This window comes from Homo sapiens, chromosome 1 (assembly GCF_000001405.40).
Source record: "Homo sapiens chromosome 1, GRCh38.p14 Primary Assembly".
Lineage (NCBI taxonomy): Eukaryota > Metazoa > Chordata > Mammalia > Primates > Hominidae > Homo > Homo sapiens.
The window spans coordinates 28,107,416-28,130,156 of NC_000001.11; the positions used below are offsets into that span (position 1 = coordinate 28,107,416).

Genomic DNA, 22,741 nt, shown 5'->3' on the forward strand with positions numbered 1-22,741 from the left:
GAACAGGGCCTGTAGGGAAAACTCCAGAACCTGGATTGTTTAGGTTAAGGAAGTAAAGGCTGAAGGGCTAGGATGAGCTGCTGAGAAACAGTATTTGAGGAGGCAGAGCCAAATAGGACTGGTAAGTATATGCTATAGATTGAAAGGGGCGAGAGGAAGGGCGTTAAAAGGGTCTTGGCAAGTCCATTGATGCAGGGGCCTAAATTAGGTGGCTCTCCTTAAGAAAAAGAATGCAGAATTATAAATACAACATTACTAGGACCCTTCTTGGGCTTTAAAAGGAGTTTGTGCAGGTGAGGGGCCCTGGGGCTTAAACTCTGCTAACTTCACAGTGAATTTACCTCTAGCCAAGGGTGCAACAAGTGATCTGGTAACACAGGTTAGGGAAATGGTCTCAGAGCTTGATTGTTCTGGAAACTTCTTCTCTTCCCCTAATTCCTTCTTAGCTTGCAAAATGCAATGCAAGCCTGCCCTCCACTCAGAACTCCTATCAGACGTGGCCCTTCCCCACCATGGCGGTTTCATGCTTCTCCTTCATGCCTGCACCTATCACACACTCATTTGTACCACTCTGCTTGTGTATTAGTCATCTACTGCCATGTAACAAATTCTCCAAAATGTAGGGGCTTAAGACTATATCAATTCATTCTCTCAGTTTTAATGGATCAGGCATCCAGGCATGGCTTGGCTAAGTCCTTGGTCAGCGAAGGCTCAATGGAAAAGATCTGCTTCCTAGCTCACATGATTGTTGGCAGAATTCAGTTCCTCACAGGCTGTTGGACTGAGGCCTCAGTTCCTCAAGAGCTGCTAGCGGGAGGCCTCCCTGGGTTCCCTGCTACATAGGCCTCTCCATCAAGTAAGTGTGGCAGCTGGCTTCATCAGACCAAGCAAATGAGAGGGCAAGGAAAAGAGAGAGAGAGCTACCAAGATGGAAGTCACAGTTCTTTGTAACCTAATCACAGAAGTGACATCCTATCACTTTTGTCATATTCCATTCATCAGAAGCAATTCACTAGGTCCAGCCCATATTCATGGGTAGGGAATTACACAAGGGCATGAATATCAGGAAGCAGGGATCACTGGAAACCTTGTCGAAAGCCGCCACCACAACTGTCACTCCTTCTCATTAACTGTTGCCCTGCCTGCCTCTGCCATTCCATTATGAGCTCCTTGAAGACGAGGACCACATTTTACTCTGTGCTTCTTGTGCTTGTTAAGTGAATGGATGATGAATAAATGAGTGATTACTTACTCAAAGTAGCAGAAACAGAACCAAAAGCAAGTGCATCATTTTACTTAAAAGAGATTGCTATTTATTGTCTTCTGACCCAGCCATTTCACTTCTGGAAAGTTAAGAAAATAATCAAGAATGTAATTATAAGAGTATATTAAGAAACTTAGTTAAGGCTGGGAGCGGTGGCTCACTGTAATCCCAGCACTTTGGGAGGCCGAAACAGGTGGATCACTTGAGGTCAGGAGTTCGAGACCAGCCTGGTCAACATGGCAAAACCCCATCTCTACTAAAAATGCAAAAAAAATTAGATGGGCATGATGGCACATCCCTATAATCCCAGCTACATGGGAGGCTGAGGCACGAGAATAGCTTGAACCCAGGAGAAGGAGGTTGCAGTGAGCCGAGCCTGCACTCCAGCTTGGGCAAGAGTGAGACTGTGTCTCAAAAAAAAAAAAAGAAGAGGCTTAGTTAAAAGGTAGTCCGTTACAGCATTGTTTACAATAGCAAACTGCCCTCTCAAAAACAAAAATAAAAACAGCTAAACTGTAAACTAACTGAATGTCCAATGATAAAGGATTGATTAGCTGCTAAGCTATACACATACAGTGGATATTCTGCAGTCATCAAAATGAAAAATGCCTTGTCTTGCTCTGTCGCCCAGGCTGGAGTGCAATGGTGTGATCTCAGCTCACTGCAATCTCCGCCTCCCAGGTTAAAGCAATTCTCCTGCCTCAGCCTCCCGAGTAGCTGGAATTATAGGTGCACACCACCACGCCCGGCTAATTTTTATATTTTTAGTAGAGATGGGGTTTCACCATATTGGCCAGGCTGGTCTCTTGGCCAGGCTAGTCTTGAACTCCTGACATTGTGATCTGCCTGCCTCGGCCTCCCAAGCTGCTGGGATTACAGGCGTGAGCCACCACACCTGGCCAGTACTTCTTTTTTAAGTTACAAAGCAGCGTATGCATTTCATCTTTATACAAAGTGAATATACATGTTAAAATATCTGGGGCAGATACTACTTAGTCCAGGGCCTGATAGCTAGGCTGGTTCTCTCCTTTCGAATGGGAGACCTCTGCTGCAGACAAGCTCCAGCAGATCCTCAGTCAGGCCAAGAAGCATCTGAGCTTGATCCCTTCTTTGTATTTATTGGATTTAGAGGTATTAGAAAAGCATTGTATGTCTTAAGTCTGGCATTGTTCAATCCGGATGTTAGGACAGAAAGAATTACCCAGAGGCCTGGTGTGGTGGCTCATGTCTATAATCCCAGCTTTTTGAGAGGCCAAGGTGAGCAGATCACTTGAGGCCAGGAGTTCAAGACCAGCCTGGCCAACATGGTGAAACGCTGTCTCTACTAAAAATACAACAAATTAGCTGGATGTGGTGGCATGTGCCTGTAATCCCAGCTACTCGGGAGGCTGAGGCAAGAGAACTGATTGAACTTTGGAGGCAGAGGTTGCAGTGAGCTTAGATCGTGACACTGTGCTCCCGCCTGGGCGACGAAGCGAGACTCAGTCTCAAAAAAAAAAATAAATAAAAAGGAAAGAAAGAATAACCCAGAGCCCTGTAACAAACTGGGTCCCAACAATCCATCCAAGTTTTACTCAGTGAATGTGGATTATAGCAAACTGAAGAAAGAAGGTCCAGATTTGTAAATGAAGTGTTTCACTATTAAAGCTGCTTTCGAATGAAGGTCTTTCTGAAGCCATCCGCACAATTTTCCATTTAATCAGGAAATATTTGTCCTCTAAATACATGAAATCATGTTGATGTAATGTGTTGGAGATTACCCTGATTAATAAATAATTGAAACTTGAAAAATAAATCTGGAAGGATTAGATCAGTTTTGAACGGCCATGAAGTTCAGATAAGCCAATTTTAAGTTTCATTAAACAAATAGGTGTTTTGGTTTTTTGTGTTATTCACATGACAAGATGTCTGGAGTCAGGCAGGTTCTGGCCCTAGTTCTTTCTAGCTCAGTATCACCACAGTTCTTTTGGTTTTCCCCTCTTGCTTGCCACCCCAGGTCATATGATGGCTGCCCCAGCTCCAGGCATCTCACCCACATTCAAATCAGGAAGAACTGGTATGGGAAAGCTCCAGTCATGGCTGACTCTTTACTAGGAAAACAAAAGCTTTCCTAGAAGTCCCCCGCCAGACTTCCTTAACTCTCCCATTGGCTGAGTCATATGGAGATTCCCAGACACAGGGGAGGCTGAAGACACTAGAAACAGAATTTCATGATTGATAATAGAAAATTATGATTTGTGCTCCAAGGCTGGGCACTCAAACAAGCTTGGAATTCTGTTAATGAAGAAGGGGAAGGGATCAAGTAACTGTTACCCCCTTTAGACAGGACACAGTGCATCCTACTTTGTCACAGTCACCTCACTCCTTTTAGATTGCTTTACTCAGTTAATCACCTGCCTAGCCCCTGTGAAGGCATTTGAACTTTCAACACTTGGATACAAGGCTCAGAGTTAGAAAGTGTGAAAAGATTGCTAACTGTCTCCATTATCCATTACTTCCCCCTTTCTTCTAGTAATAAAATAATTTTCACCCCAAGATATAGCAGGGTATATGGCTGCCCAGATCCAGATCATAGTTCATGGTCACCGCTGCCATGGTAGCTAGCTGGGTGTGACCATGTAACTAAGTACTCACCACTGGAAAATGTATAGATTCATGTGATCATCACTTCTACATCATTTCCTAAAGTGAAATTGTTAGCCATTTACTTCCTCTTTCCCCCACTTACCACAGGCTTGTATATAGATGCTTCAATGATGTCCTTGGAGACGGCAGAGCAACAAGATAGAGGGAACCTGTATCCCCAAATGACTACCTGAAGCAGAGCCCCTTACTCACCTCTGGACTCATCCTGAATCACCCATATGCTTAAAGGGATAAAACAACAACAAAAGACAAAATAAGAACAACAAACAAAACCTGTAAAACAAGAGATTCAAAATAAATTTGCTCTAGCTGGGGCATGGTGGCTCATGCCTGTAATCCCAATACTTTGGGAAGTGGAGGCAGGAGGATCACATGAGCCCAAATGTTCAAGACCAGCCTGGGCAAGATAATGAGACCCTAAAGTAACTGGGCATGGTGGCCCATGCCAATAATCCCAGCTACTCGGGAGGCTGAGGTGGGAGAATCACTTGAGCCCAGGAGGTTGAGGCTGCTCTGAGACATGATCCAGGCATGGTGGTGAGCACCTGTAATCCTAGCTACTCAGGAGGCTGAGGCAGGAGGATTCCTTACACCCAGGAGTTTGAGGTTACAGTGAGCTATGATCATACCATGGTACTCCAGCATGGAAGACAGAATGAGATCCTGTCTCAGTAATAAATAAGTAAATAAATAAATTTATTCTGTATTTTTGAGCCTCTTTACTAAAGCAGCTTATTCTGTTCCTTAACTCATATAGGAAAGAAAAAAACAAACTTCATTATGCCATTGGTGTGTTGTTAATAGTTAAAAAAAAAAAAGAAGAAGAAGAAGATTGGGAGCTAAGACGAAAAAAACAGAGATGTCAACTAAATGGAGGAATAAGAGATGTTCTTATAAAGACTTGCATTACTGGGGAGGCAACTGAATAAACAGGCAGGACAGTGAAAGAGCCTAATCAGATGCCCACTGAGCTCTGCTTTGGAGTTAATATGGTTTGGCGTTGAAGCAAAATACAAAGACCAGGGTGAAGTCAAACCATTGCAGTCTACATACGGCAGGAAGGCCCATGGTTCAAGAAGGGTCTGTGTAGATATGAATTAGATGGGAGGACCATTAGTCAGGGTCCTTAGGTTGCAAGCAACAGAAAGCAACTCTGAGTTGCTCAAACAAAACAAAGAATTTACTAGAAAGACATTGGGAAGACCAAAGAATCTAAGGAAGATCTCAACAGCCAAGGCCAAGAAAAGGATAAGGTGCAGGTAAGCTCTGGGAATCCCACTTACAGAAACTTGTGGTTTCCCTAGTATGCAGCAGAATCACCTGGAGGGGTTTTTAAAACACAGATTGCTGGGGCCTACCCCTAGAGTTTCTAATCCAGTAGGTGTGGGTTGGGGCCCGGGAATCTGTATTTCTAACAGGTTCCCAGATGCTGTTGCTGCAGGTCAAGGGACCCCCTTATGAGAAGCACTGCTTTAGGGGAAACACATCAAATGACTCAGCTCCCACTTCCTTCCATCCCTGAGTGTCTCCACAGTTCCAAAGTCCTGAGAAAGTCCAGTTGACCCAGGATTGAGTCACTCTTGTGGTCAGAGAGGTGGCGTTCTGTGATTGGCAGCCATGTGAGTATCACTTGGTGTGGGGATGGGGGAAGTTCCTCCAAGGAAGGAACACTGGACACAAAACTAGACGATGTCCTCAAAATGGTAGTTGGGCAAGCTAAATGCACAACTCTCTCCATCTGGAGCAAGATCTTCAGCAGCAGCTTCTCCTCTCAGGGCAGAAGTTCCAGAATAGAGAACTGGAGGCGGGTGGGGTGGTAGGGAGAGGGAGAAGGTGGACTTCTACAGACCATTATCTCTATTCTAACCTCATTTCGTTTCCTGTCAAGAGAAGACACTCCTGCCCCCTAGAGACCAGTGATCAATTCCACAGCAGCTTTGGTGGCTATGAAAGCCCTGAGGAGTCAGTAGACCTTGCGCTGAGACCCATTTTGACCAGTTAGGCCACAGCTCAAGACAACATTTTACCGTGCATGTTGTAGCTTTTTTCAGCTGCAGAGAAATCAACAGAGATAGTTCCTGAAAAGCCTAAGCATCTCATTTTTGCATCATACTGTATATGCTCCTACAGGGGAGAAGAAACTTCCATCTACCCTCTTAGGTTCTATGGCTGGCCTAAGTTTTTTTTTTTTTTCTTTCTTTTTTTTGAGACACAGTCTCACTCTGTCGCCCAGGCTGGAGTGCAAAGGCACGATCTCGGCTCACCACAACCTCCGCCTCCCGGGTTCAAGTGATTCTCCTGCCTCAGCCTGCCGAGTAGCTGGAATTACAGGTGCGCACCACCATGCCTGGCTAATTTTTGTATTTTTAGTAGAGACGGGATTTCACCATGTTGGCCAGGCTGTTCTCAAACTCCTAACCCCAAGTGATCCACCTGCCTTGGCCTCCCAAAGTGCTGGGATTACAGGTGTGAGCCACCACGCCCAGCCTGGCCTAAGTATTAATATTAAACAGACATAAGACAGAATAACATGAGAAAAGCATACAAAGTTTTTAAATATTTTATCTATACACAGGAGTCGTCAGAAGGAAAGTGAAAACCCAAAGAATTAATTAAGCCCAAATGCTTATATACCTTTTTACATAAAGAATAATAAATCGGTGGGTGATGTGAACTGGAGTCTGAGCCGGCTATAAAGAGAACAACAACAACAAAAGAATGACAGGCCAGGCTTGGTGGCTCACACCTGTAATCCCAGCACTTTGGGAGGCCAAAGCTGGTGGATCACCTGAGGTCAAGAGTTCAAGACCAGCCTGGCCAACATGAGGAAATCCCGTCTCTACTAAAAATACAAAAATTAGCTGGGCTTGGTGGCGGGTGCCTGTAGTCTCAGCTCCTCGGGAGGCTGAGGCAGGAAAATTGCTTGAACCTGGGAGGCAGAGGTTGCAGTGAGCCAAGACTGTGCCACTGCACTCCAGCCTGGGCAACAGAGACTCTGTCTAAAAAAAAAAAAAAAGAATGACAAATTGTGGGGATGTGACAAGACAAAGAGGCTTGAGCTAAAGGCAGTTAGTTGTGGGACAATGACTAGGAAATACATGGGGTTATTTTAGTAGGTTCATTTGTACAGGCCCACTGCGCCATCAACCCTCAGTCTCCGGTGATGGGAATGTGCTTCTCTTCCTGGTACAGAGAGGGCATCTTTCTCATGGGAAATTTTATGAACTGTATTTAGGTAAAAAGATGGAATTCAGAGGGTTCTTCCTGCACCGGCTGTTTCTCAAGTGGCTTCAGCTCAAAATAATATGCCAGAGTGGCATATTTTGGGGTGGCATGTCCTGAACCCCTTCACTAACAATGAATTTTCTTCTTCAGAAAAACTTGGTAGTGGTCAGGCACAATGGCTCACGGTTGTAATCCCGGCACTTTGGTAGGCCGAGGCAGGCGGATCACCTGAGGTCAGGTGTTCAAGACCAGCCTGGCCAGCATGGTGAAACCCCATCTCTACTAAATAAAAATACAAAAATTAGCTGGGTGTGGTGGCACATGCCTGTTATCCCAGCTAGTTAGGAGGCCAAAGCAGGAGAATTGCTTGAACCTGGGAGGCAGACGTTGCAGTGAGTCAAGATGGTGCCACTGCACTCTAGCCTGGGCGACAGAGCAAGACTTTGTCTCAGAAAAAAAAAAAAAGAGAAAAGAAAAACTTGGTAGAGAAAAAAAAAATCTGTTAACCTAATTAAACAAGCCTACAGTTGTGTAAGCTGGATTGTCAGCTATCAGATGCTCTTATAATGTGGCTCACCTGAGCTTACAAATGAATATCATTATTTCAAGGAGTGTGTTGAACCATTATGTTAATATTTACACAGCAATTAATGTAATACACCATATTAATTGAATAAAGAACAAAACCCACCCCTCCAATAGATGCCTAAAAACATTCGACAAAATCTAACAGTTTAAAAGCATTCAACAAACTAGGGAGAGAAGGGGACTTTCTCAACCAGATAAAGGATATCTACAAAAACCCCCAGCTAACATCATACTTCCTTGTGAAAGACTGGACGCTTTCCCCGAAGATCCCTTGTTAAGATTAATGGTTGCATGCGGTGGTGGGGGGGAACAGGAAGTGACTGCTAGTGGGTATGGGGTTTCTTTTTGAGGTGGTGAAATTAGTGGTGATTGTTGCACAACTTTGTCAATGAATACACTAAAAATCAGTAAGGGTATGGTGGCTCACACCTGTAATCCTAGCACTTTGGTAGGCTGAGGCAGGAGGCTCACTGGAGCCCAGGAGTTCAAGACAAGCCTGGGCAACATAATGAGACTTCATCTCTACTGAAAAAAAAAAAAGAAAAATTAACTGGGCATAGTGGTGCACATCTGTAGTCCTGGCTACTCAGGAGGCTGAAGCGGGAGAATCTCTGGAGCCCAGGAGGTCGAGGCTTCAGTGAGCCATGATTGCACCACTGCACTCCAGCCTGGTCAACAGAGTGAGACCCTGTCTCAAAAAAACAAAACAACAACAACAAAAAAAGCCACTGAAGTGTACACTTTAAAAGATACCTGAATTAAATCTCAAAACTGCTTTTTTTTTTAGTAGGGGACAGGGTCTCACTCTGTTGCTCATACTGGAGTGCAGTGGCTCGATCTTGGCTCACTGCAACCTCCACCTGCGCAAGGATGACACAAACATTCATAAAGCATTCCATATTTAATTTTTAAAAAAAAATCAAAATTACTTAGTAAGGAAATATTCACTTAAGAAGTCCTAAATTAGATGGGATCCAGAGTTAATTAATTCAGCAGCTGGCTGGTGTCATCAAGGACCCAAGTTCTTTTTTTTTTGAGACAGACTCTCGCTCTGTCACCCAGGATGGAGTGCAGTGGCTTGATCTCGTCTCACTGCAACCTCCATCTCCCAGGTTCAAGTGATTCTCCTGCCTCAGCCTCCCGAGTAGCTGAGATTACAGGTCCACACCACCATGGCCAGCTAATTTTTGTATTTTTAGTAGAGATGGGGTTTCACCATGTTGGCCAGGCTGGTTTTGAGCTCCTGATCTCAGGTGATCTGCCTGCCTCAGCCTCCTAAACTGCTGGGATTACAGATGTGAGCCACTGTGCCCGGCCCAAGGGCCCAAGTTCTGTGCTCTTGCCACTCTGCTATCCTCAACTTGCTGGCTCATCTTCAGGCTGCCTTAGATCTAGCCACCCTGTCTGCTTTTTTTTAAGAGATATGGGTCTCGCTATGTTGCCCAAGCTGGTCTCAAACTCCTGGCCTTAAGTGATCCTCCCATGTTGGCCCTTTGAGTAGCTAGGATTACAGGCGGGAGCCACTATGCTAGGCCTGTTTACATATTAAAGTGAACCCATGTATTGGTCAGGATTCTTTTGGTTGCAAATGTCAGAAATCTAACCCAGACTAGCTGAAAAAAAGTAGTTCAAAGGGACTTCAGACATGTCTGGATCAAGGAGAGCATCAGAACTCTCTTTCCATCTTTCGGGGTTTATTTGATTTTGTTTGGCTTCATTCTCAAACAGGTAGCAAGATGGCTGCTGGTAGTGCCAAGCCATCACTGCTGTGTATCTTTTTTTTTTTTTTTTTTTTTTTGAGACGGAGTCTTGCTCTTTTGCCCAGGCTGGAGTGCACTGGCATGATCTCGGCTCACTGCAACGTCCGCCTCCTGGGTTCAAGCAATTCTTGTGCCTCAGCCTCATGAGTAGCTGGGATTACAGGTGCCCGCCACCATGCTCGGCTAGTTTTTGTGTTTTTAGTAGAGACAGGGTTTCACCATGTTGCCCAGGCTGGTCTCGAACTCCAGGGCTCAAGCGATCCACCCACTTCGGCTTTCCAAAGTGCTGGGATTACAGGCGTGAGCCACCGCACCCGGCCCACTGCTGCGCATCTTATAATGAGACAGAAAGAAAAAAAGATGGTGAGCGGGAAGGAAAAGAGAGAGAGACCGTCTTTCCTCTAATGTCCATATAATAAATATGAAGGATCTTATTAACTCACAGGCCTATCCCTGGACCAATCACCGGGGCCAAAAGAATACAGACTTTGGATTGGCCAGTCCTGGGTCTTCTGCCAAGACCCAAACCACAGGGACTGAGCTGGACTGGGGAGAGGAGGAACAATTTCCCATAGGAAGACAGGTCAAGCAATGAAAATGTGCCTGCCACACCCTAGAAGGCTGTAGAACATGAGGACATGAGCCATGTAGGACGTGAGGATGATGCCAGGGTTCCAGTGCAAGCTGAGACTTAAGGGTACCTTCCAAGAAACCAGGAGGAAAGAGCGCAAGGAACTGGAGTTTTTGGAGGGCTTAGTATGTGTGGACCCAAGAGCCCAGAGCTACTTGGAAGTGGCAGAAGCTGGGCTTAAACAATGTGTTTTTTAATTCCAAAGTCCATGCTGTTAGCACTGGAAGGACTAATCAAAGACAGTGGGGCTGAGACAGAGAGCAGCTTTATTCTTGTAATAGTGAGAGATGTCCGGGAGGCACTGTGGAGGGGGCACTTATCCCAGCCTGGGAACAGAAATCAGAGAAGACTTTCTGATCCCACTACTGGGTATCTACCCAGAGGAAAGAAAGTCATTATATGAAAAAGATACTTGCACACGCATGTTTATAGCAGCACAATTTGCAATTGCGAAAATATGGAACTAGCCTAAATGCCCATCAATCGATGAGTAGATAAAGAAAATGTGGTATATAGGCCGGGCGCAATGGCTCACGCCTGTAATCCCATCACTTTGGGAGGCTGAGGCGGGTGGATCACCTGAGGTCGGGGGTTCGAGACCAGCCTGACCAACATGGAGAAACCCTGTCTGTACTAAAAATACAAAATTAGCCAGGCGTGATGGTGCATGCCTGTAATCCCAGCTACTCGGAAGGCTGAGGCAGGAGAATTGCTTGAACCTGGGAGGCAGAGGTTGCGGTGAGCCAAGATTGCGCCATTGCACTCCAGCCTGGGCAACAAGAGGGAAACTCTGTCTCAAAAAAAAAAAAAAAGAAAAGAAAAAGAAAAAAGAAAGAAAAGAAAAAAAATGTGGTATATATATAATCCTAGCACTTTGGGAGGTTGAGGCAGGAGGATCACTCGAGCCCAGGAGCTGAAGACCAGCATAGGAAACGTGGTGAGACCCTGTCTCTACAAAAAAAAATTTTTTTACATTAGCTGTGTGTAGTGGCTTGTGCCTGGTGGTTGCAGCTATGGGGGAGGCTGGGGCAGGAGGATCACTTGAGCCTGGGAGGTCAAGGCTGCAGTGAGCCGTGTTCATGCCATTGCACTCCAGTCAGGGTGACAGAGTGAGATTCTGTCTCAAAAAAAAAAAAAAAAAAAATTGGAGTCAATCTTCTCGAACCTTGTTGGTGATTTATCAACTAAGTGTATGTAATATTTTAAATTCTTCATTGTCATTTCAACAGTGTTCACAGTATCTTCACCAGGAGTAGATTCTATCTTAAGAAACCACTTTCTGGCCAGGTGTTGTGACTCATGCCTGTAATCTTAGCATTTGGGGAGGCTGAGGGGGGCAGATCACTTGAGGTCAGGAGTTCAAGACCAGCCTGGCTAACATGGTGAAATCCCATCTGTACTGAAAATACAAAGAAATTAGCTTGGTGTGGCGGTGCACATCTGTAGTCCCAGCTCCTCAGGACGCTGTGGTGGCAGAATCTTGAACGTGGGAGGCAGAGGAAGAAACCACTTTCTTTGCTCATCCATAAGAAACAATTCCTCAACTGTTCAAGTTTTACCATGGATTTCAGCAATTCAGTTGCATCTCAGGCTCTACTTCTAGTTCTAGTTCTCTTGCTATTTGTACCACATCTGCAGTTACTTCCTCCATTGAAGTCTTGAATCCCTCAAAATTATCCATCAATTGACACATAAAATTAACAACAAAAATCATCCATGAGGGTTGAATTCAACTTCTTCCAAAACCACTGTTTACGTTGATATTTTGACCTCCTCCCATGAATGACAAATGTTCTTAATGGCATCTAGAATGGTGAATCCTTTCCAGAAGTTTTCAAATTTCCTTTTTTCCCAGATCAGGCCAGGTGCGGTGGCTCATGCCTGTAATCCCAGCACTGTGGGAGGCTGAGACCGGCAGATCACCTGAGGTCAGGAGTTCAAGACCAGCCTGGCCAATACAGGGAACCCCCATCTCTACTAAAAATACAAAAATTAGCCAGGCATGGTGCCACACGCCTGTAATCCCAGCTACTTCTGAGGCTGAGGCAAGAGAATTGCTTGAACCCAGGAGGTGGAGGTTGCAGTGAGCTGAGATTGTAACACTGCATTCCAGCCTGGGCAACAGAGCAAGACTCTGACTCAAAACAAAACAAAAACCCCAAAAAACAAATCCATCAGAGGAATCAGTATCTATGGCAGCTATAGCCTTATGAAATGTATTTCTTAGGTAATAAGACTTGAAAGTCAAGGCTGGGTGCGGTGGCTCATGCCTGTAATTCCAGCATCCCAGCACTCCGGGAGGCCAAGGTGGGTGGATGGCTTAAGCTCAGGAGTTCAAGACCAGCCTGGACAACAAAGTGAAACACACCGCTCCCCGCCGACCCCCCACGCCACCGCCGTCTCTACAAAAAAAAAAAAAATTAGCCGCTAATTTTTTTATTAGCAGGCTTAAAGGTTTTCTAAATACTGTGTGTGGCACTAGAAACTTCATGCTGTATCAAGTCAGTGTCAGTATTAAGCTACTGGACTCTATAATGAAATATTATAGATAGATATTTACTGAAAACCAATATAAAAATCTGGCCCAGAAAGACCAGAACAGAAATATGCAATTTTCTTGATTTAAGATGGTCAAAAGTGTGTGGGTTTTTTGTTTTTTTTTAAAGCTCTACACATGGCTTAAGACAGGTATGTGTAAGAAGCCTTTTTGTGTGTGCTGACTTTATCATGACAACTCTAGCTGATTCTTTATGAAGGATTACGGATACTCATCTTCAGCAGTGCACATGAGAAATAAACTCTGAAAAAGGCAATTTCTTAGGTTTAGGCAGGACCGTATTCTGGGAATTACTTCAGAGGAACGGACAGTAATTCTAGGATTATAGTCAAGAAGGACTTGAAGACTTCAGGAGATGCTTCAGCTTCTTCCAGATTTTGAATGCTGAATAAGCCACTGAAGTGTGATATCTATATTATCCTTTTCTTTGCAAGAAATTGAGGCTGGGCGCAGTGGCTCACACCTGTAATCCCAGCAGTTTGGGAGGCCGAGGCGGGTGGATCACGAGGTCAAGAGATCAAGACCATCCTGGCCAACATGGTGAAACCCCGTCTCTACTAAAAATACAAAAATTAGCTGGGCGTGGTGGCGGGTGCCCCTAGTCCCAACTACTCGGGAGGCTGAGGCAAGACAATCGCTTGAACCCGGGAAGCGGAGGTTGCAGTGAGCAGAGATCGTGCCGTTGCACTCCAGCTTGGTGACAGAGCGAGACTCCGTCTCAAAACAAACAAACAACAACAACAACAAAAGAAATTGAATAGCGGCAAACTTCTCTATCCTCAATAGCACACAGGCTCATTTTTTCAATTAGCTGTTTCTCATCCAAGGCATTAGGAAGATCTCCCTTGTTTCCAAGCACTTAGCCCTGGAATTCCTCGCAACTGTGGTTTCTTAGAAGATTATGTAGCTCATTTCGGGAAGCTTCTATCTTTTCACGATCTGCAGCATCTGTCATGTAAACAATAGCATTGACTTCTCTGCAATACCGCTCCCACATGCTTCGAAATCGGGCTTGTCCTCCTATGTCCTAGATCTTTATTGTGACGTTACCTTGTTACTTCCCTCATGTTGAAGCCCACTGTGGGTATCATATCTTCACTGAATTGACCTGACGCGATGACATTGACAAAGGTGGTCTTGCCCGAGTACTGCAGCCCCACGAGCATCAGCTCCATCTCCTCCTTCCAGAAGAGCGAACGGAACCAGTCCAGCAGGCGGGAGATGAGTGCCAGCATGATGGCGGCCGGCAGCGAGGACGGACGGGAGGACGGAGAGTGGAGGCGACCACGACTTCCACACGAGCAGGCCTCCGCCCAGACCCCCCAACGGCTCCTTCGGGTCCCAGAGCAACACGGGCGGACCCCAGGGGGCGGCAGCTGCCTAGGGTTTTTTTTGGTTTTTTTGAGACGGAGTCGCGCTCAGTCGCCCAGGCTGGAGTGCAGTGGCGCAATCTCGGCTCACTGCCAGCTCCGCCTCCCGGGTTCCCGCCATTCTCCTGCCTCAGCCTCCCAAGTAACTGGGACTACAGGCGCCCGCCACCACGCCCGGCTAATTTTTTGTAGTTTTAGTAGAGACGGGGTTTCACCGTGTTAGCCAGGATGGTTTCAATCTCCTGACCTCGTGCTCCACCCGTCTCGGCCTCCCAAAGTGCTGGGATTACAGGCGTGAGCCACCGATCCCGGCCTCGATTTGTTAAAAAAAAAAAAAATCTACAGGCTGAGCACGATGGCTCATGCCTGTAATCCCAGCACTTTGGGAGGCTGAGGCAGGAGGATTGCTTCAGGCCAGGAGTTCAAGAAAAGTCTAGGCAACAAAGCGAGACTCTTGTCTCTACAAAAAATAAAAAAAATTAGCCAGGCGTAGTGGCATGCGCCTGTAGTCCCACCTAATGGGGAGGCTGAGCTGGGAGAATCACTTGAGCCCAGGAGGTGAAGGCTGCAGTGAGCTGTGTTTGCACCACTGCACTCCTGCCTGGGTGACAGAGGGAGACCCTATGTTAAACAAACAAACTCTACAAAGCGCAATAAAGTAAAACACAATAAAACAAAGTATGCCTGTATACAGAAGGATGTGTGTCGGTTATATGCAAATATTGCACTATTTTACATAAGATATTTCAGCATCCACATATTTTGGAATCATGGAGGCGCTAGAATCAATCCCTGGTGGATATCGAGGGATGACTGTGTATTCATTCAAGCAACAAAAAGAAAGCCTCATGGCTGGAGTAAGAGTCAGGGACAGTAGTGATTGGGCAAGAGCCAAATAACCATGGGGCTTGGTAAGGAATTTGGATGTTATTTTAGGCATAATAGGAAACTGGAAACTACTGAAAGGTTTTTTTGTTTTGTTTCATTTTGTTTTGAGACAAGGTCTCACTCTGTCACCCAGGCTGGAATGCAGTAGCACAATCACAGCTCACTGCAGTCTTCACATCTTGGGCTCAAGTGATCCTCCCATCTCAGCCTCCCGAATAGCTGGGATTACAAGCATGTACCATCACACCTGGCTAATTTTTGCATTTTTAGTAGAGATGGGGTTTCTCCATGTTGGTCAGGCTGGTCTCGAACTCCTGGCCTCAAGTGACCTGCCCGCCTCGGCCTCCCAAAGTGCTGAGATTACAGGCGTGATCCACCACGCCCCACCATGGAAACTACCAAAAGGCTTTGTACAGAGAAACAACACGATATTTTTTATTTATTTATTTTTATTTTTTGGAGACAGGTTCTGGCTCTTCCACCCAAGCTAGAGTGCTGTGGTGTGATCAAGGCTCACTGCAACCTCATTCTCCTGGGCTCAAGTGATCCTTCCACCTCAGCCTCCCAAGTAGCTGGGACCAGAGGCATGTGCCACTGTGGCCCACCAATTTTTTCTTTTTTATGGAGATGGGGTCTCACTGTGTTGCCCAGGCTTACAATCTATGATTTTTTCAAGACAGGGTCTCACTCTGGGCTGGAGTGTAGTCCCATGATCAAAGCTCACTGCAGCCAGGTGCGGTGGCTCACGCCTCTAATCCCAGCACTTTGGGAGGCTGAGGCGGGCAGATCATAAGGTCAGGAGATCCAGACCATCCTGGCTAACACGGTGAAACCCTGTCTCTACTAAAAATACAAAAAATTAGCCGGGCATGGTGGCAGGCACCTGTAGTCCCAGCTACTCAAGAGGCTGAGGCAGGAGACTGGCGTGAATCCGGGAGGCAGAGCTTGCAGTAAGCCGAGATCACACCACTGCACTCCAGCCTGGGCGACAGAGTGAGACTCTGTCTCAAAAAAACAAAAACAAAAACAAAAACAACTCACTGCAACCTGGAACTCCTTGGCGCAAGCAATCCTCTCGCCTCAGCCTCTGGAGCAGCTGGGGTAACAGGCACAAGTCACTGTGCCTGGCTCAACAACACAATCTTATTACATTATTAAAAGATCACTCTAGCCGCTGTGCTAAGAATGGATTGTGTAGGAGGTAAGGGGAGAAGTGGAGAGAATGTTGCAATAGTCCAGGCGAGAGAGAATGATGGCTACAACAGGAGCAGCAGTGGAGGGGGTGGTGAGGAGGAGCAGGAGTCTGGATTTATTTGGAAGGTTCCATTTCCTGGTTTTAGTTCCTCATCAGACCTGTCTACTTCCTGCCCCCGTGTTCATCCAAATTTCCCCCTTTTTCCTCCCTCTAAATGTCCATTCTGCTTAGGCTAGCGTATGGGAAGGATTCTGCTATTTGCAACCAAACCATCCTGACTAGGCACCTTGGCTCTCCAGACTGATCTAATTCACCACTCCCCATGACATGACCTGGTTTCATGCTCCCTGTGTTAAGCAAAGTGTTTTCTGTTGTGAGTAATACACACAGGAATTAACAAACCTCCTGTGGGTAACATTTCTTCAGGAGAATTTTCAAAGGAAGCAGTCCAAGATTTTGTTTGTTTTTTTTTTTTTGAGATGGAGTCTCGCTCTGTCCCCCACGCTGGAGTGCAGTGGCGTGATCTCGGCTCCCTGCAACCTCCGCCTCCCGGGTTCAAGCGGTTCTTCTGCCTCAGCCTCCCGAGTAGCTGGGACTACAGGCGCCCGCCACCATGCCTGGCTAATTTTTTGTATTTTTAGTAGAGACGGGGTTTCACCATGTTAGCCAGGATGGTCTCGATCTCCTGACCTCGTGATCCGCCCGTCTCGGCCTCCCAAAGTGCTGGGATTACAGGCGTGAGCCACCGCGCCCGGCCAGCAGTCCAAGATTTATTTTATGATGTGGGAAAAATGCTTAAATCATATGTCACCTCCAGTTGTACCTACAACATTAGATAAGAGGTAGAGATCATAGTAAGAGGTGCCAGCTGGGCACGGTGGCTCATGCCTGTAATCCCAGTGCTTTGGGGGGCTGAGGTGGGTGGATCACCTGAGGTCAGGAGTTCGAGACCAGCATGGCCAACATGGCAAAACCTCGTCTCTTCTAAAAATACAAAAATTAGCCAGGTGTGGTGGTGCACGCCTGTAATCCCAGCTACTCAGGAGGCTGAAGCAGGAGAATCTCTTGAACCCAGTGAGCCAAGATCCTGCCATTGCACTCCAGCCTGGGCTATAAGAAGAAAACTCCATCACAAAAAAAAAAAAAAAAAAAAAAAAAAGAGGTGCTAAAATATATAGCCAATACTCGGCGGGTGTGGTGGCTCAGGCCTATAATCCTGACCTCAAGGGATCCACCCACCTCGGCCTCCCAAAGCACTGGGATTACAGCAAAGTGCTGGGATTACAGCAAAGTGCTGGGATTACAGGCATGAGTCACTACACCTGGCCTCCATTAATATGTATGTATGTATGTATGTATTTTTTTTTTTTTTTTTTGAGACGGAGTTTCGCTCTTGTCGCCTAGGCTGGAGTGCAATGGCACGATCTCGGCTCACTGCAACCTCTGCCTCCCAGGTTCAAGTGATTCTCCTGCCTCAGCCTCCCGAGTAGCTGGGATTACAAGTGCCCGCCACCACGCCCAGCTAATTTTTGTATTTTTAGTAGAGACAGGGTTTCACCATGTTGGCCAGGCTGGTCTCAAATTCCTGACTTCAGGTGATCCATCCACCTCGGCCTCCCAAAGTGCTGGAATTACAGGCATGAACCACTGCTCCCGGCCTAATATTTCTTAAACACCTAGCATCTGTCAGAAGCTAGGGATACAACAATGACAGAGACAGATATGTTCCCCGCCTCCATGGAGTTTATATTTTAGTAAGAAAGACAGACAGTAACAAGTAAAAATGCCAAAGAAGAAAAACGCGAAGCAATGCAAGTGATAATCTAATGAAGGAAAAAAGCAAGGAGTTGCTAAGATGGAAAAAAAGACTAATTCTTGTGAAGTTAAATACAATTAGCTTGAACTCACAGCCCTTGGAGAGTGAGAAACAAGAGTCCCTCTAGTATTTCAGCATGTAGTTGAGGATGGAGGGCAATGAATCTCTGGCTTCTGGTCTACTCTGGCTCCAGTTCCCGTCTCTTGGATTCTTAACTCCCTGCCATCAACCAGATTCCTGGGATGAACAAGCAAGACATTGAGAATCGTATAGTACCACCTGGTTCTGTACTCGAGCCCATTATCAGCATTTTTTTTTCCTGGCAGATCATTTTCCACCATTCCTTTCCATCAGTGGGCTTCCTAGGGTTGATGGCATACTGAATCCTCCCTAAGCCAGCCACACCCTCTTGTCTAGAACTGTCCTCAGAGTATGGGCAGAATAGTATAGGGGTTCAGAATCCCCACCCTGCCACTTACTAACTATGTAACCAGAAGCAAGCGACTTAAGTCTCTCTATGCCCCAGTTTTCTAGTCTTTTTTTTTTTTTTTTTTTTGGAGACGGAGTCTTGCTCTGTCACCCAGGCTGGAGTGCAATCGTGTGATCTCGGCTCACTGCAACCTCCGCCTCCCAGGTTCAAGCAATTCTCTGCCTCAGCCTCCCAAGTAGCTGGGATTACAGGCGCCCGCTACCACACCTGGCTAATTTTTTGTATTTTTAGTAGAGACGGGTTTTCACCATCTTGGCCAGGCTGGTCTTGAACTCCTGACCTCATGATCCACCCTCCTCAGCCTCCCAAAGTGCCAGGATTACAGGTGTGAGCCACTGCACCTGGCCTTTCTGGTTTTAAAATGGGATTATTAATATTCCTAACCTCATAGAGTTAATAGATGTAAAGCATTTAGAGTCGTGTCTGGCTTATTAATAAATGTTAGCAATCATTCTTATTTAGCACTTTTCCATGGAAGGCACTGCAATAGCTACCTTATGTACTATAGCTCATTGAATCTTCTCAAGGTCATGCAAGGCAAGTGGTATTACCCCATTTGCAGATTGGAACACTGAGGCTCAGAGTGGTCAAGGCATTGTTTTGCTCAAGTTTCCACAACCAAGAAGTAGCTGACCTGGGATTTAAACCTGGGAAGGTGACATTGAATATTTCCCCCTCCTTCCTCCACATTATTCTGCCTACCCCGGAGACGAGTTTCACACCTCCTTTCCTCAGCCTCTCTTGGTCTTGGGTGAATTCATCCTCTTTCCAAGACATGTTTTGCCAGTCAAGCCCTTGAAGGTCCTTTCAGGTCCATGAAGCTGATTGCTTTTAAATGTAGGTCCCTTAGGAGATGACTTCATCTCAATCTTCCAATCCTCTCATTTTATATATAGAGAGAAACTTAGTCTCACCATCTTTTATAATTTTCTACAGAAATTAAAGTTTCTCTTCTGAATTATAAAGTCATGATAAAACGTATCTTCCAAAGGACGTAGGAATTGATCTGAAATTTCATCAAAAGTTTATCTCAAACGTTAAATCATGATCATTCTGGGGCACTTCCACATTCCAGATCTACAAGTGTCAAAGCTAAGGGAACTGAACAAAATATATAGAACTGTATATCTCAGAAAAGAGAAGTAGCAGCAGTTGACAGGAAGAGCAACATCCTCAATTTTCAAGATATTTACAAAGTTTGTGTGTGTTTTTCTCTTCCTAAGTTCCCTCTTCAAAGAAAATTATTCCTCCCCAGTTCCAATAAACTTTTGCTGACCAGCACAACCTGTCCACCTTTGCTATTAAAGGGACAAAAAGTAAGTCAGCTATGAGGCACCTTATATATTAGTAAAAACTAAAAATAATTATAACAGTCAGTGCTGGCAAGGATATGACAAAACTAGTATTTACATAATTTGCTGGTGGTGGTGTAACTGTCACAACCCTTCAAAAAGAACTTTGGCAATATATTTCACCGGGTGGTAATTCCTTTCCCAGAACTTTATTATAACTAAATTATAATAAAGGGGAAACAAAGTAGCAAAAACCTGGAAATGACTTGCATGTCACGTGTTTTGAGCACTTACTTTGTAGCAGGTTCTATGTTATACACTCAACACAAATAATCTCATTTAATCCTCAAAACAATTCTAGGAGGGATATGCTATTTTACTCCTTGTATTCTGAATGGGGAAACTGGGACTACAAGGAATAAAGTAATTTTCCCATGGCTCAACAGCTGTAGGGCAAGGGAGGGTTTAAATCATTGAGGAACAATGAAGATACAGAATTCTTCTTCCTTCTACAGTAGTGTATGGAGAAGGGGCATGGATGGCCACTTCTCAAGCCTCTACAATGTGCTAGTTACTGTAGATTGGTTGTCTCATTAAAGCCTCTCATCTTCAAGATAGGAGATCAATAGACTCTTTGACAAGTGTGGAAACTGATACTAAGAAAGGGGAAGTGGTCAACTCAGTCAGACAACAAGTGATCACTGTCCCAGAATTCTAGCCCAGCATGTCTGATTCTAGAGTCCATGCTCCTTCCTCAGGCTGTCTCTTTAAGAAAGACTCAAAATATAGTAACTGAAGTCAATTCAGGCATGGGGAATGTTGGGCTGGTGGAGATGGGGAGGATGTTTGACCGCTGAGCCTAGAGGACACTGACCTATCTCCAGAGGCACTTTCTGGGAAATCAGACAGCCCTAGGTTTGGGATCCAAGGAGGAGTGGGAACATGGTATAGCCTTAGCAGGTCTTTAACCGAGGCAGCTAAGAGGCAGGTAATATGCAAAGTCTGAGGCTATGTTCAGTCACAACTGGAGAACTAAATAGAAAAATTGAGGCAGAATCTCAGTCAAGGACCATAGCAGCATGGGAGAAGAAGAAGACGGCAGCATTGTGATTTGTGGGTTTCCAGAAGTACCCTCCAATACTCCATGGCCTTTTCCTTTTTTTTTTTTTTTTTTTGTAATTCAACTTTAAGTTCTGGGGTACATGTGCAGGATGTGCAGGTTTGTTACACAGGTAAACATGTGCCATGGTGGTTTGCTGCATAGATCAAGCCATCACCTAGGTATGAAGCCCCCCCTCCATTAGCTATTCTTCCTGATGCTCTCCCTCCCCACTCCATGGCCTTTTCTGTGTCCACAACGGCTTTCCCCACAGGAGAAAAGGGGCAAGATCACAGACCATGACAATATCTTGCCCCTTTCTAGGGATCACCCTCCTGTCCACCAGACCAGAAGCAAATGGATACAGGAGGCAAAACTGGTCCTGGGGCCGGGCGCGGTGGCCCACATCTGTAATCCCAGCACTTTGGGAGGCCAAGGCAGGCAGATCACGAGGTCAGGAGTTCAAGACCAGCCTGACCAACATGGTGAAACCCCGTCTCTACTAAAAATACAAAAAAAATTAGCTGGGTGTGGTGGTGTGTGCCTGTAATCCCAGCTACTCAGGAGGCTGACTCAGGAGGCTGAGGCAGAAGAATCACTTGAACCCGGGAGGCGGAGGTTGCAGTGAGCTGAGATCGCGCCACTGCACTCCAGCCTGGGCGACAGAGTGAGACTCCATCTCAAAAAAACAAAAAATAAAAATGGTCCTGGAATCTCCCACCCCACCTAACCACACCCACGCCCTTGCTGGGCTTGGTCCAGGATGTAAACTGGGTGGGCTGACAGGAGAGACCTCGAAGGAAGGGGCTGGGAAGGCTGAGGAAGCAGACTCAGGGGAAGAAAACTCCTCATCACGGACTTGTTCTCTGCCCTGGGATGTTAGCACATGAAACAAGAGGCTCCATTCACATCTCCAAGACTCTTGCCCTCTGTTCCCTTAAGCCCATAGCACACCTTTCCTTCCTTCCTGTGTAGATCACAAGGGGACCAGGGAAGGGATTGCACAGCAGGATACAAATGAGGAAAACTGGGCTCAAGCTTCTGTTCCACCCACAAGGGCCACTGTGCCCTGAGTCATGTTCCCAGCAACGAGAAAACCTAGAGTGCATCCAGGGGTGAAATCTTCCTGGGGAAAGGCACTCAAGATGGATGATTCACTCTCCTGAGTGCAGAATGAGGTGTCAAGGTGTGTGGTTCTAAGAACCTTGTCAAACAGATCAGACTCACCTTGGAAAGACAGTGCCTCCACCCCAGAGGCACCATCTCCCATAGTCAGCCCCAGCCCAGCCAAGGTGGATGAAGATGACCAGATTCTGGGGAACAGAGGGCAAGAAGAATGGGAAGTATGAAAATACCCAGTACTGGCTGGCCGCGTTGGCTCACACCTGTAATCCCAGAACTTTGGGAGGCCAAGGCGGGCAGATCACCTGAGGTCAGGAGCTCAAGACCAGCCTGGCCAACATGGCAAAACCCTGTCTCTACTAAAAATGCAAAAATTAGCCAGGCGTGGTAGCACATGCCTGTAATCCCAGCTACTCGGGAGGCTGAGGCAGGAGAATCGCTTGAACCCGAGAGGCAGAGGTTGCAGTGAGCCAAGATTGTGCCACTGCACTCCAGCCTAGGTGACAGAGCCAGACTCCATCTCACACACACACACACACACACACACACACACACACAAAAGATAATGTTTACTTAGTACTCACTGTGTGTCAGGTATTATTCTATGCCTTTTACTTAATCCTTAGGGCAACCCCATGCAGTAGATGATAATGTCACTCCCATTTTACAGATGAGAACCAGGTCACAGAGAAGTTCAATGACTCACCCAGGGTCACACAGCTACTAAGTGGCAAGGCCAGAATCTGAACCAAGGTAGTCTGGCGCCAGAGACTGTGCCCATAACCATTTCACCAGTGA

General features: G+C 46.0%; 1 pseudogene, besides 2 other annotated features; it reads right to left on the bottom strand.

The window, feature by feature from the left end:
• Positions 5,924–5,983: an enhancer, noted in NCBI's record as "active region_582". NCBI's record gives its function as "activates an Ori minimal core promoter by ATAC-STARR-seq in GM12878 lymphoblastoid cells {active_cell/tissue: GM12878}" and the evidence as "EXISTENCE:reporter gene assay evidence [ECO:0000049][PMID:35858748]".
• Positions 6,034–6,083: an enhancer, noted in NCBI's record as "active region_583". NCBI's record gives its function as "activates an Ori minimal core promoter by ATAC-STARR-seq in GM12878 lymphoblastoid cells {active_cell/tissue: GM12878}" and the evidence as "EXISTENCE:reporter gene assay evidence [ECO:0000049][PMID:35858748]".
• Positions 13,419–14,052, bottom strand: ARL8BP2 (ARL8B pseudogene 2; annotated as a pseudogene).